The sequence below is a fragment of the Homo sapiens genome, chromosome 13 (assembly GCF_000001405.40).
Source record: "Homo sapiens chromosome 13, GRCh38.p14 Primary Assembly".
NCBI lineage: Eukaryota > Metazoa > Chordata > Mammalia > Primates > Hominidae > Homo > Homo sapiens.
In genome coordinates, this window is record NC_000013.11 from 44,329,469 (window position 1) to 44,343,819 (window position 14,351).

The 14,351-nt window shown below is 44.0% G+C and overlaps 2 annotated features.

Annotated features, from left to right (window-relative positions):
- Positions 209 to 710: an enhancer, noted in NCBI's record as "H3K4me1 hESC enhancer chr13:44903813-44904314 (GRCh37/hg19 assembly coordinates)". NCBI's record gives its function as "activates a minimal SCP1, AML or CMV promoter by ChIP-STARR-seq in naive H9 embryonic stem cells {active_cell/tissue: H9 hESC(naive)}" and the evidence as "EXISTENCE:reporter gene assay evidence [ECO:0000049][PMID:30033119]".
- Positions 3,305 to 3,804: an enhancer, noted in NCBI's record as "H3K4me1 hESC enhancer chr13:44906909-44907408 (GRCh37/hg19 assembly coordinates)". NCBI's record gives its function as "activates a minimal SCP1, AML or CMV promoter by ChIP-STARR-seq in primed H9 embryonic stem cells {active_cell/tissue: H9 hESC(primed)}" and the evidence as "EXISTENCE:reporter gene assay evidence [ECO:0000049][PMID:30033119]".

The window sequence follows — 14,351 nt, forward strand, 5'->3', positions numbered from 1 at the left end:
TTAAAACCCAGATGATGGGTTGATGGGTGCAGTAAACCACCATGGTGCATCTACACCTATGTAACAAACCTACACGTTCTGCACATGTATCCCAGAACTTAAAGTATAATTAAAAAAAAAGAAAGAAAAAGCAGGGGGGCGGGGCTGAAAACTGTGCTATAAAGTACTTTTCCTCCTCAGTTGAGAATACATATTTTTAAATCCAGAACTCACATATTCCATAATAGTGAAAGGAAACAGGTCTGCCCCGCACCCTCCGCCTGAGTTGGGGCATCATGGAGTAAGAGAATGTTAAAGCTGAGGGCACTGCCACCAGGGATGAGCCAACCCACATCTTCAGTTCATGGATGGAGAGCAGGGGCCCCAGGAAGAAGAAGAGACTTTGCTCAGGCCATAGCACACGGTGACAGTGAGGTGAGGATGAGCTTTGGGGTCTTTCAACGTTCAGTCCAGGAGTCTAACTCTTCTTTTTCCCCTGTCGATATTTTCAAGTCACCAATCATTCAGAGATTGTTTGTGTTTTCTCTGAAGACCTCCTCTTGGCAGACCACCTGCCTGCCCATCTCCGTCCAGGAGGCTGTGGGGCTGCGGCCCTCGGAGAAAGCTCCTGGTGTTCTGCTGGCTTCTGCCCCCAAGGCCTCCAGTGCAGTGGCCCACTCCTGCCACAAGCAGCACGCTTGCCCTGGTTTCCCTGCAGATCGGGGGCAGACTAGCAAGGCTGGTGCACAGCCCAGATCCACCCTTGCTGGCTGGACCTGCGTTCCCTAGAGCTGCTGGTAGAACTGTCCCCCTGCAGCCTGCTGTGTGGGCTGCTCCAGCTGTGTTCTTCCACCATGGAAGGGTCCCAGCCTCATGAGAGGCTGCCACCAATTTTCCCTCACTGTGGGCTACTGGGGGATTTCCCCAAACAGGTGCCTTGGGTCAGTGTCTGCTGTAAGAAGCAAGGCTCCTTCTCATATTTCCATCCCTGTGGCCATGGCCCATGACTTTATCACTACCGCATATTTAGCACTTACATATAGGATAACCAACTTGTCCCACGTTGCCTGGACTGCCCTGGTTTTACAACTGCAAATTCCCACATTCTGGGAGCTCCTCAGACCCAGCCAAACCAGATTTGTTGGTCACCCTACTTACATGCTTTATAGACAATTTCAGGTCCTTTACATGCATATTCACAAATTCTCACAACCTGTGAGGCAGGTACTAATATTGTTCTTATTTAACAGATGAGAAAAATGATGCTTGTGGTGGTTAAGTAACATTCAATTTCATACAACTTGTGTCAAGGTCATTGTTCAAACCTCAAATCCATCCTCTTAATCACTGCTCCAAAAGGTGCGCAGGCTGGGCCTTCTGGCTTCTTGAGGCTTGTAGCCACGAGAACACCCTCCCCGATTTAGGATCCAATGCCAGGATCCTCCATGTCCCCTTGATCGGAATCACAAGCCCTCCCAGGGAGGTGAGAGTGCAGAGCTTTCCAATGACTGTGGGCAAAGCCTGACCCTTCTACTATGAAACAGAGCTTACACCCCACTGTAGAGACGCTCTCCCCTCGGGCTTCTACTCCAAAAACTTAAACCTAACCATTATGTCATCCTTTTCTTCAGTGAAATTCTAGTTCTGAAAACCCAGTTTCCCGCACTCTCCTCTAAGCGTCCATTCCCAGGGCAGACCCGCCCCTTTCTTCTCACCCTTGGGTCAAAGAGAGTAAAAGGAGACTAAGTGGGGTTTGAGAAGTTCTATTTTCCCTGCGGGTAACAGGAAAAAAAACAAAAAGCCACCGACACAGAGTCTCAGAAGTGACCATATAGAAGAAGCTGTCTTTATTAGGAAGGATGTCTCATTCAGTTTAGCATTAAAATAATCTGGCATCAGAATCTACATTTGAATAGTTCTCTACCATCTTCTAAATGCCTTTCTGGAGCTTTATTATCTCACTGAGTCCTCCCGATAGCCTTTTGGGGTAAATGTCATTATTTTGCCTATTTTTCAGAAAAAGAAACTGAGGTTTCCGTTGTGTTGAGGTTTTCAGAGTGGTTGAGTCACTTTTCCACAGCCCGTGTGTAGAGGGAGTCTGGATACAGAGATTTTGAAATCTTCTGGTAATAGATAGTACCCTAGAGAGAAATCTCCTTTCCCGTCACCCATCACCACCCCCTTAGAGGGCTGGTGTCTCATTGGTGGCCTCCCCATGGGAGGAGATGATGTGGTACCTCTGTCACCCTATCAATCAGTGCCTGGATGATGTGGTACCTCTGTCACCCTATCAGTGCCTGGAAGAGTACTCCAGTGAATGGAAAATAGTACTCATGCTACAGAAACTCGGCTTCACCCATAGTTTACCTCTACATCTCTCCTGTATATTTTCAGAAACTTACTTGGGGTTTCACAGACAGGATTTACAGTCAAGACCACCTGGGGTAGTCCCTGAAGGAGGAAAGGCTTGTCTGGATTAAAAGTGAGAATGCTCTCAAATCCCACCCTAGTGGCACACCTCATGGCAGGTGGAAGTGAGACAAGCTCTTCTCACCATGGCTTCCCTCCACCACCTCCTTTGTCAGAAGCTAAACAAGCCCTTCCAGCAAACGTTCTGGCTCTCAGAGGTTCTCTGCAGTTCCACAGATATCCTGGGCTGGGATCCAACAGGGGCCTGCTTAGTCATAGCCACAGGAGTCTTGGAACATAGCCCCCTTTTCAAAAAAGAAACCTCCTAAGTCTCCGGGGGGGTCTCAGTTTCCACAGATGCAGCTCAGCCCTTTGCCTTTAGGGTTTCTTTACTGTCCTGTTAAATTGCAAATTCCCCTAGGAGTCTATTTAAAGCTCTTATCAGCCTTTTCACTTTAAGATAAATACAATACATTTCAGTCTTTCCTGAGGGTCTGATGGGAAAATGAGAGGAGTCTGGACTGTGTACCTTCCCTACCAAAAGACAAATGAGTCTGGGAAGGGAGAGTGGAGAGGAGTAAAAGGCAACTGCACCTCCCACATGTTGAGGTTGCATCCTGGCTGCTGTGTGCGGCAGGTCTGCAGAGATATCCAGGAGGATGGCCCAGTCAGGGTTTTTGGTTTGCAAACAACCGAAAACTCACTGAGCTAAACTAAGCAGAAATGGGGCTTGTTAGAAGGCTACTGGCAAGAAGACTAGAGAACAGTTAGTCTGGGAAGCTGGGCACACAGCCAAGAACCCACCAAGGGGATGATCCAATTAGGAGCCAGTTCTGCAGTCACAGGAGGCCCCACGCCTCTGAAAACAGCCCTCCCTGCTGCTGCTGCTGCCTCCAGCCAGGACATAGTGCAGCAGAGAATTACCCCAAAAGAGGAAGGCCCGCGAGTGACAGGCAGCTCCCACCCATCTCACTCCCCACCTACTCCCTGCAAATGTCCCCTGCAGACAAGATACAGAGAGGAATGGCTGCCCTTAGCTCTGTCTAACAGAAGAAGCTTCACTGAATAAACGTTTTGCTCTCCTACCAGATCAGATGGATTCTATTATACAATATCCCAATTCCACTGTAAGACCATAGAGATGGTAGAGATTTTGTATCAGGCCGATTTGAGCTGAAATCCTGTCTAAGCCACTTACTGGCTGTTTGATCTTGGATAAATGATTTAACTAATCAAGCCCTCAGTTTTCTCACCCATTACGTAGGCCGTCCATAAGTAGGTATGTCAAATCTCACAAAGTAGTTTGGAGGTGTTTTTAAGGAAATAGAAATATCAAACAGCTGGCCCAGAGCAGGATTTTAATAAATGTGCTTGGCTTTCTCCTCCTTCTACCAAGTTTCCAAGTCATCATTGGCCCATTATCTCCAACTTGGGGCACAGTGAGCACTGGGCTTGGCAGTGGCAGGCGTGTCTTTGTTGAATGGAGGAAGATATACTGAGCCCACATCTGCATTTCTACAGCAGCAGGAGACTGGTATGTTAGATGTGGACCCAAATAGCACACAGGTAGGCCATATAACAACCTGATACACACATTGCCCGGGAGCCTGTGTGCTCCTGACTAACTCTGCCCATCCCCGCTAGCAGCCCCAACAGCTGAGGCACCCTGGTCCAAGTTCATGGCTCTGCAGAGCTGCCCATATAAAGCTGACCACGGAAAGGAAAAAAAGCAGAAACAAAGAAGAACAATGGACTTTTCCAGTCCAGTATTCATAACCATTTAGACCAAAGATGACATTTATATATTTTTAATTCAGAAAATATATTCTCTTCCCAAAGGAAAGAAATAGGGGGGTGCCTAGAGAAGACAGGAGGTGCCCTTTCACAGTCTCTTTACAGAATTAGAATCTGAGCACAGCACAAGCAAATACAACCTCAAATAAGGCCCCTCAAAGTCCTTCCTAGCTGGAACAAGTTTGGAGGGCAAGCTGTCCAAAACCGTCATCTTATACTTGTCTTAGAGTTGAAAATGTGGTCATTGAACTCCAGTACCAAGTTAGGTGACATATTTACACATCTGCAGTTTTTAACAACCATTCTGGCTTCAAATATTCTGTGTAGTTGCTTCCAAAAACAAATATTTACCCTGGTTATAAATTTGGATTTGGAAAATGCAACCTGGTAAACATGGATCCACTGTGTCTGCCATGGAAGGGGGATCATCAGTCCTGGCTTGAACAGTTGGGCTTGAAAATGACTCTTGTGAAGACTCACAGTGTGTCCTTCAGGAGCTAACAGGATGTGGGCATGAACCACTCACCTTTGAGGACATTGCTTTCTTTGCGGACTCTAAGCTTAGGGCTTTTTTAAAAATACACACTTCATTTATGGAGACATTGGCAGTTATTGGGTCCCTGTAAAAATTTTCCAGCAAAGGAATAAGCTTCTTGAAGCATCTGGTGGCAGTTTTCCTTTTGGTTTTGACTTTTTTCTTTCTCTTCTTGTTTTTTAAATTTCCACATGTAGCTTGCTGTGTCCTGTCATTGGGAATAAAGCCAGGGCGGTGAGGGTGTTGAGGAGCAAGTAGCAGCATGGAAACCCCTCCACACTGCAAAACCAAAGTTCAAATGTTCTGATCCCAGCAGGGCTGACAGCCATTCAGCTCCGACGGCATGGATAAGAGGAACTTGGACAAGGATTTGCTGTTTGGGCATCTACTGACTAAAGCTCTTTTGCAAGATTCTGTTATCTTCATGGACAATATTGTTACCCATTTCTTTAAGAAAATGTTCGTTTAGCAAAACTTCACATACAAGTGCAAATTAGTTTACCCAATTACCCTTCATCAAGAACTATTTACTTAAGTCTTCTGTTTGCACCTTCTGCATAATTTATGCAGCTTTCATTTGAAATACAATTTAGAATTTAAGTATTTGATGAGGATGGCATCTTAAGGCGTGTTTACCAGGAATAATCATAGAAGCAAAATAAAGTGAATGGCAATTCTTTAAGTGGAGGCTAGAGCTTTGGATCCCCAGGCCAAGCGGTTTCACATGTGAGGCACTTTAATCCTGCTAGCCAGCATGTGGTTGCTTAGTAACTGTCCTTATCAGTGGTTCAGGGTTTCTTCTGATTGCCTTGTAAGAAGATAGCACCTTTGGTACCTTCTATCTCTTCCCTTAGAGATGCAATAAGAAATAATTTTGTAAAAGGTCACCCTCAAGAAATATACTTTCTAGCTGGGAATGGTGGTATGCACCTGTAGTCCCAACTACTAAGGAGGCTGAGGAGGGAAGATCACTTGAGCCCAGGAGTTCGAGGCTGCAGTGAGATATGATCACGCCACAGCACTCCTGCCTGGGCAATAGAGCTAGACCCTGTCACTAAAATATATATATATACTTTCATGTATAAGTACAACATCTAGCTAGCCAGCCAACAAAGTTAAAACATTTATAATAATTAGTGTTGAACTTAGAACAGTGATTCTCAAACAATGGTATGCAACAGAATCTCCCGGAGAATTCATAAAATACAAAGGCGCAGGTCCTATCCTATTTCAAAGAGTCTCAGCATTGTATTCTTTCCAACACACCCATGCTGGAGAACCACTACTCGAGCCCACAAGCACTTGTTACAGGGCCCAATAGCTCTGTAGCCCAATAGCCCAATAGCTCCAAAATGTCCACCTGCTGAGGCCAATCAAAATCAGATCAGTGCCTGACCATTCATGAGCAGTCCTAAGGAGACTGCTGCAGTGCTCCATTGCAACCATGGTCCCAGCCACCAAGAGGCTCCCAGAGAGGCTGAGTCAACTCACTTATCTGTGTGTGTACACAGATGGGCTCTGGCACTGATGTTTGGGTCGTCACTCTCAGAAGATAATTCTACGAGAAGATGAACATTAGAGACAGCAACCCAGGCCATACGAAAGGGAGAACAGTCTGAAGATGTCCTTCCTCTCAAGCTAGGATTTCAGTTAGCTAATAAAACTGACTGCATTCACTGGGCTGTGAGACACTGAAGTTCATTTCCATAAAAGCTGTTGTGCCATTTTCTTCTCTGGAGATCTTAGGAGTTCAGAAAGCCCTGTTTATGGAGTAAAGGGTGGGTCTGGCTGCACATATGTGACTTGAATTCTCTCAAGAGAGGACTGAGCCTGTTTCATGGAATGATTTAGAGCATTCCTCCACCCTGTCACACTGGGTCAAACAGGGACAATACTGGCCGGGCGTGGTGGCTCACGCCTGTAATCCCAGCACTTTGGGAGGCCGAGGCGGGTGGATCATGAGGTCAGGAGATCGAGACCATCCTGGCTAACACAGTGAAACCCCGTCTCTACTAAAAATACAAAAAATTAGCCGGGAGCGGTGGCGGGCTCCTGTAGTCCCAGCTACTTGAGAGGCTGAGGCAGGAGAATGGCGTGAACCCAGGAGGCGGAGCTTGCAGTGAGCCGAGATAGGGCCACTGCACTCCAGCCTGGGCGACAGAGCCAGACGCTGTCTCAAAAAAAAAAAAAAAAAAAAAAAAAAAACAGGGACAATACCATTGAGATGCAATTTCTCTAGACACACACACAAAGAAATGGAAAATGTGGAGAAAGACAGCAGAGGCAGAAAATACTCTGGACCTTGACAGAATTTCTGCTCCCAAATTCATCTGCCCTCTGACATGAAAAGCAAGTTGACAAATATTTTGCTTTTTTTTTTAAAAAAAAAGAGGTTTACTAAACTATGAGTTTAAGTAAAGTGCTTAGAAGACACAACGTATTCTTCCTTCTGTTGGAAAGACTCATGGAGCAGACACTTGCCCCAAAGTTCAATGTCCCAGGTAGAAGCATCTCTCAGCCTCCTTGACATCTTCACAAACCACAGGAAACTGAGTTCTGCAGAGTAGATGACAAAGAAGGCGGAGTTCCCATCAATTCTTTTCAGAGATCTATTCTAGATTTCATTTGCACACATCCAGAAGCATCCTTGGCCACAGACTCACACTGAAATCAGAGCAAGAACCAGAACTCTGGAGGTTTAACTTTTACACAACAAAAATAAAGCTTTACAACAAAGTCTAAATGTGGCCATCTTGTGCAAGTAAATGATAAACATTATCATTTGCTGTTTCACCCCAGAACAGAAAGGAAGACTGACAAACGGGAAGCTGCCCATCAAAATGCAGAAGGAATGGACTTCGGTTTATACAGAGCTGAGTGTGAGATCTGGTTCCACCACTTGCCAGCCATGTGCCCTCAGGAAAAGTTGCTCAGCCTGTCCAGACCTTAGTTTCCTCATCCGTAAAATGAGAAGAGTAAACCGATCTCCTTCATCAGGTTACTGGGAGGATTAAATTTAATGAGGTGTTTCTTGTAGCACAGCACTGCACAAAGAAAGTGCTCAGTAAGGCCAGCCATCATTTTGGATCTATATAGAAACAAGAGCAATCTACACTTTAAGTCATTGGGAATTTGGTGACTATAATGAGGAAAATGGTGGTGTGGGAGGTAGTGGATTATCCTACCTGTTATCTTTTTTAAAAAAATTGCATGGAGAACTGAATCGCATCTGAACTACATGCCCAGGATTGTCCTTGGCATTACTGGGGATATCAGTATGGCCGCTGTCCTAGAAGAAACTGCAATCTAATTGTACAGACAAAGTATACAATTGCCTGACTATATAGACAAAGAAACATCAAGTATAAATCCAAATAATATATTCAGGGAAGAAAGCATGAGAGAAATGAGATCAGTGCAAGCTTGAAAAAAGCTTTTTGAAGGAGGTGGGGCCAGGGAGGGCCTTGAGTGATGGCAATTAAGATGCCTTGCGTCTCTGCTTACATCAGTCATTGTGGGAAACCCAAACTCCCAGCCCAGGCCAACCCCATCCTCTTTCCAGCACTGTCTACCCTTATGCTGACCCATTCTCACCCTCTTCCTAATCTACCAAGCCCTTCCCCTATGCCCGTGATCTCATGGTCTGAAACTGAAACCTAAACTCTGCTCTGTGAGTCCTTGTCACCTTCTCACTACAGCTACACCTAGCTCGGCCCTAGGTACCCTAGGACGGATTCTCCTCAGTCCTCTGAAGCAGTAGCCCTTTCTCCCACACATCCCCTAGTCACCCCAGGGCCAGCCTCCTCCTTGTCTCCTCCAGCCTCTCCACACAAACCTCCAGTGATTCTAACGTGCCTAGCGTCAGTCCAGAACTCCCCGTTGCAGTCGGGTGCAGACATGTCGCCATGCCGTAACTCCTTGAAGATTTTAGCACTGAGATGATTGTTACACTCTTCAACATTACTCATGTGATAGACAGAAAAATGGCTCCCCAAAATGCCCACATCCTAATTCCTGGAACCTGTGAATATGTTATATGGTGCTATCGACTGAATTGTGTCCCCAGAAAATTCATATGTTGGGATCCTAAACCCCCAGTACCTCAGAATGGGAATGTATTTGGAGATAGGGCCCTTAAAGAGGTGATTACGTTAAAATGGAGCCGTGAATCCAATCTCACTGGAGTCTTTATGAGAAGAGGAAATTTGGACACAAGAGACACCAGCGATGTGCACATGCAGGGAAAGGCCTTGTGAGGACACAGCAAGAAGGTGATCATCTGCAAGCCAAGGAGAGAGGCCTCAGAAGACATGAAACCTGACAACACCTTGATCTTGAACTTCCAGCCTCCAGAACGGTGGAAAATGAATTTCTGTTGTTTAAGTTACCCAGTCTGTGGCATTTTGTGATGATAGTCCTAGAAAACTCATACACATGCAAAGGGAAACGGAAGTTGCAGATGGAATGAAGGTTGCTAAAGCCCTGGCTTTAAATAGGGAAAGGAGCCTGGCTTATGCCAGTGGGCCTGATGTCATCACAAAGGTCCTTCAAAGTTGGGGGGGAGATGCAGAAATGTCAGAGCGATACAAAGAGAGGGCTGAGCAGGTGGCACTGGCCTTGAAGAGGAAGGAAGAGACCATCAGCCAAGGGATGCAGGTGGCCTCTAACAGCTGGAAAAGGCAAGGAAACAGATTCTCCCCTGAAGTCTCCTAGGGCCTCCAGAAAGGAGCCCAACCCCGCCAATACCTAGATTTCAATCCAGTGAAACCTGCATTGGTCCTCTGTCCTAAAGAGGAGAAAGATCATGCATTTGCATAGTTTAACCTGCTAGGTTTGTGGTAATTTGTTAAAGCAGTCATAGGAAATGAATATCACTTTGTTCATAAACCCTGGAGATTTTAACATCCATGTAGAGTTAACAATCCATCCAATATCTTTAATTCTTTCAGGTCCCTGAGTCTCTCTCCTCCCAGGCCCTGCCACACTTATCTCAGACCCCACTCCCAGGATCTAGTCACTGCGTCTAATTGTAACTCATCCACTTGTGGGATCACTCTCCAATCTCCACTTCTCTGATCTTTCTACCCACTCTCTGGGCTCCAATATCCAGACTCCAAAAGTCCTTCAGCTATACCTTCCTCTTGTGCATCCTCTCCCCACTTGAGCTGTCACTGGTTAGAAATACGATCATCTCTTACATGTGCTCTCCTCAGCTTTGCTCCTCTCTCCTCCTTGCACTCACATGGAAAAGCCAAACCCTGGAAAAAGCCCACTTCCCCACCTACTCTGTACTCTGTACCTTCACCCAAGCATCTGGCATGACTGGAGGAAAACACTTTATCAGGCTCATCTGTCTCCATTTAAATTCACCAGTAAATCCTACCATATTCCCCTTCATTCATGCACTTCTTCTCCTGGATGAGTATTTCCCACCTGAACGATGAACCTGAGACATCACCTCTTACAGGAAGCCTTCCTTGACCCCTTCCTTGACCACACCAAGGCTGGATGAAATGACTCCTCGGGGCTTTTAAAATATTCTGTGCATATTTTGCACTCACCGCCTTGGATTGTAATTATCCACAGGCCTTATTACCACAGGATGGTAAGATCTCAAAGAGACCAGGCGCCTCTCCATGTTCTGCAGTCAACTCGGTGCCCAGCACAGAGTACGTACTCGGTAAATGCTTAATGAATGAATGAAGAAATGAATAAATGAGCCAACAAAGAAAGTGGAAGAAAAACACATCTAATAATCCAGATGACTTGTAAATTTATACGGGGTTTTACTTTTTAACCTCTGATCCACTTTTTCCCAAAAGAAGAAACCAGGGTGGCTGACTGTCTACCCAAGACCATTTAGTATCCTGGGGTAAACATCCTGAGGCAGACAGATATCTCCAATCTGAAACACAAAAACAAACAAACAAAAAAACAGATTCCAGTATAGATTTCCTTTGGAGATACCCTCAAATGTGGAATCATGAAATCTTAGAATCAGATGGGTCCTGCAGAGTCATTTAATTTCATGCTCTGAGCTTGTCCAGCCCAATCTGAGGACTAACCTGGGCTTCAGAGCAATATTGTTTGCTATTTTGGTTGATTTGTCATTATAATTATTTAGTTATTATAATTATTTTGAACCCAAATTGTTTAGAACATCAAAAAGACACAGGGAAAAAAATATTCACCTTAAAAGAAGCCAATGAAAATATTCACTTTTTTTTATTTGAAAAGTTAAGACAGAGCCAGAGGGCATGTAGAAAGGTATGAACCGAAGTCAGGAAATCAAGGCCTGTGGGGCTCCTGGGTGTGCTTGTGCAGAGAACTGACCCTTACTGAGTTTTTATCCCAGATGGTGGAGGTTATTATACCTCCCTTCCCCACTCCCAGCAGCGACTGCATCAGGTAATGCCTGTAACCACACTGAGCTCCCTGGGGAGTGGGTATGAGCAGAAATCATACTGTTACAAATACTCCAACAACAGTGAGAAACCAATGATTTTCTGTAGTTTTTTTTTTTTAAAAAAAACCTTAAACCACATGATTTGACTTGGCCAAGTTGAGACAAATGTCCCTCATGATTTGACCTGGCCAAGTTGTGAAAACTACAGCTGATCAACCTAATGCTTATGGGATAACAAATGGAAACCTCCAAATTTTGGCTGCTTCTTACTAGAACGAAAGTAAAATACAAAAATACAGAAGACACAGCTTCTCTGAGCCACATATTTGTGCTTTCCATGGTGAATATTTGTTGGTTTCATAAACATTTACACCACACCTACTAAGTGCCAGGCACAGTGCAGTACTGGGCCAAGATAGATCAAGATAACAAGTGGTAGTATCTGCTCTAGAGACCCTCACAGTTTGATGAGGGTGGGGAGACAGACATATAAACAAATCACTATAGTAAGCACAGCAAGCACTCCTAAAGAGGCACTATAGTAACATGAGTGCCATCTACCCATATGCCAGTTCCTCTTCCAGACAGAGACAAGTTGCCTTAGTCAATAAATATTACAGAAAATTATGGAGGCAGGAGCACTTAATTGCCAGTGTGAGATGCCACAGAGTCTTCATGTGACAATCTGGTGATTGTGGAAATATGAATTAAAACTAAGGTGCAATACTGAGCCAACATGAGGATCAGCTACTCAAGAGGGACCCTCAAACCCACAGCAAACTTTGCATCAATGAGGAATACATCTTTGTTGTTCTAAAATTGTAAGACTTAAGGCATGTTTGTTACCCAGCTACCCTGACTAATACAAGTATACAGTAAGAGCTTTGAGAATAAAGAGGAGGGAACTTGATGAAGTCAAATAAATATTCACAGTGAAGGTGACATTTGAGCTGAATGAAAGGGTGTGATGATGAGCAGTCTGGTGTGGCTGGAATGCATCTGTATAAAATGTGAGTTTTAATATTTAAAAACATTGAGGCTGAAGAGCAACGGAGGCCATGCTAAAAAGCCTGGGCTGGTTCCTATGAAAAAGAGTGGCTGAGGACCAGTGTGCATACGCAGGGAGACTTTGGGTAGTTCTCCAACAGAGCAAACTAATGTCTAGTCATTTAGTGAAAAAACAATTCTCTTAAAATTTTTCTTTTAAAACCTGTAATTTTATCAAGAAGGAAGTCTCAGTGTGATGCTCTGTGATGGTTAATTTTTTCTGTCAACTTGACTGGGTTAAGGGATGCCCAGATAGCCAGTAAAACATTATTTCTGGGTGTGTCTGTGAAGGTGTTTCTGGCAGAGATTAGCATCTGACTTGATGCACTGAATAAGAAGATTTTGCCCTATGAATGTGGGTGGGCCTCATCCACTCTGTCAAAAGCCCAGAGAGAACAAAAAGCAGGAGGAAGGGCAAATTTGCTCTCTCTACCTAAGCTGAGACATCCACCTTCTCCGTTCTTGGACATTGGTGCTCCTGGTTCCTGGACCTTCAGAATCTAGGACTGATACCAGCAGTCCCCTGACCCCTCAGTTCTCAGGACTTCCAACTTGACTGAGAGTGACAACATCTACCCTGGTTCTCAGGCCTTCAGACTCAGACTGAATTACACCACTGGCTTTTCTGGTTCTCCAGCTTACAAACAGAAGATTGTGAGACTTCTTGGCTCCTCTATTTTTATATATATCCTATCGGTTCTGTTTCTCTGCAGAGCCCTAATACATGCTCCTCAACTCACTTGGAATAACAACTGAAGTCCTTTCAATGACCTACAAGGCCTTGCAACAACTTGACTTCCAATGACATCTCTGAGCTCATTTTGTCTCCTTCCCTCATGCATTCTACTAGAGTCACATTAGCCTCCTTCCTAGTCTTTGAACCCAACAAGCGCATTCCTACTCAGGACCTTTGCGCTTTCCATTCTCTCTGCCTGGAACGCCCTTCCCAGGATACCTGTGGTTCACACCCCTATTTTCTTCAAGTCTTGGTTCACATGTCGTCTTCCCGGGGATGCCCTCCCTGACACCAGTTACATAAAATTGAATCCCCTTCATAACTCCATCCTTGACTTATTTTTCCCAATAGCATTTATCATCAATTAGTATACTACATAATTTTCAATTTTATTTTGTTTAGTATGTATCTATCCCTACCAGAATATACGCTCATTAAGGCCAGGAATTTTTAACATTTTTTTCACACCTGAATAATTCCCAACTGTTAAAGTGAACAATGTTCAGGACACAGCAGATGTTCAAAAGATATTTGCTGAATGAATAAGTACCTATGAAAAATGTGCTCATCTCCATCTTTATCAGACAAAGATTGGCCTCAGGCTTAGAATTGTTGGAAGGCATCAGTATCTAGCTACAGTTGAAAATTATGTTTGTCAAAGGATAATTTTTAAAAGATAAAATCATAACTTTCATACAAATATAAAATGAACATGTGTTAATGATTTTATTTAACTTATTAATGAGTGAACAAGTAAGATGTTACAACCAGTTCAAAGGAGAATTCAAGTAACACACACATAAAGAGGCAGATAAGGAATGCTGAGATGAATTTACCAATAGAGGCAAAACTGATCAATATCAACAGAGCAGTAAGCAATTCCATTCCATCAGCTAAAACTCATTGGCTCTCCTATTGGTAAGATGTGTATTGTGTAAGTCTATTTACACATAAGTTTTCTATAACTTAAAGTCTTATAAATAGCTCAAGAACAATTAAAAGAACAAATAACCCAGAAGGGTGCAATAGACAAGATACCCAGTAACCTTATTTTTTGCCCATTTTAATGTCTTTCATAATTTTTCCTGGCACGTTGTTTTATGTTTATTGTATTTACTTTTATAGATAATATGCTATTTATAGAAAATGGCACTGGCTTTTCACTTGTATTAGTGATATAGTTGTCTTTAAAGAGATTTGTTTGCATTTTTAGAAGAATGCCAATTAAAAAATATATATCTAGAAAGTGTAGGACTGTGTCCTTCAACCTTTAATATGCATACACACCATCTGAGTATCTTGTTTAAATGCAGATTCTGTTGAGGGGAGGTCGGGGTGGAGCCTGAGACTCCGCATTTGTGGTAAGCTCCCAGATGCTGCCCATGAGGGTGGTCCAAAGAGCACGCTTTAAGTAGAAAGTGTATAAATGGCACTGGGATAAGGCA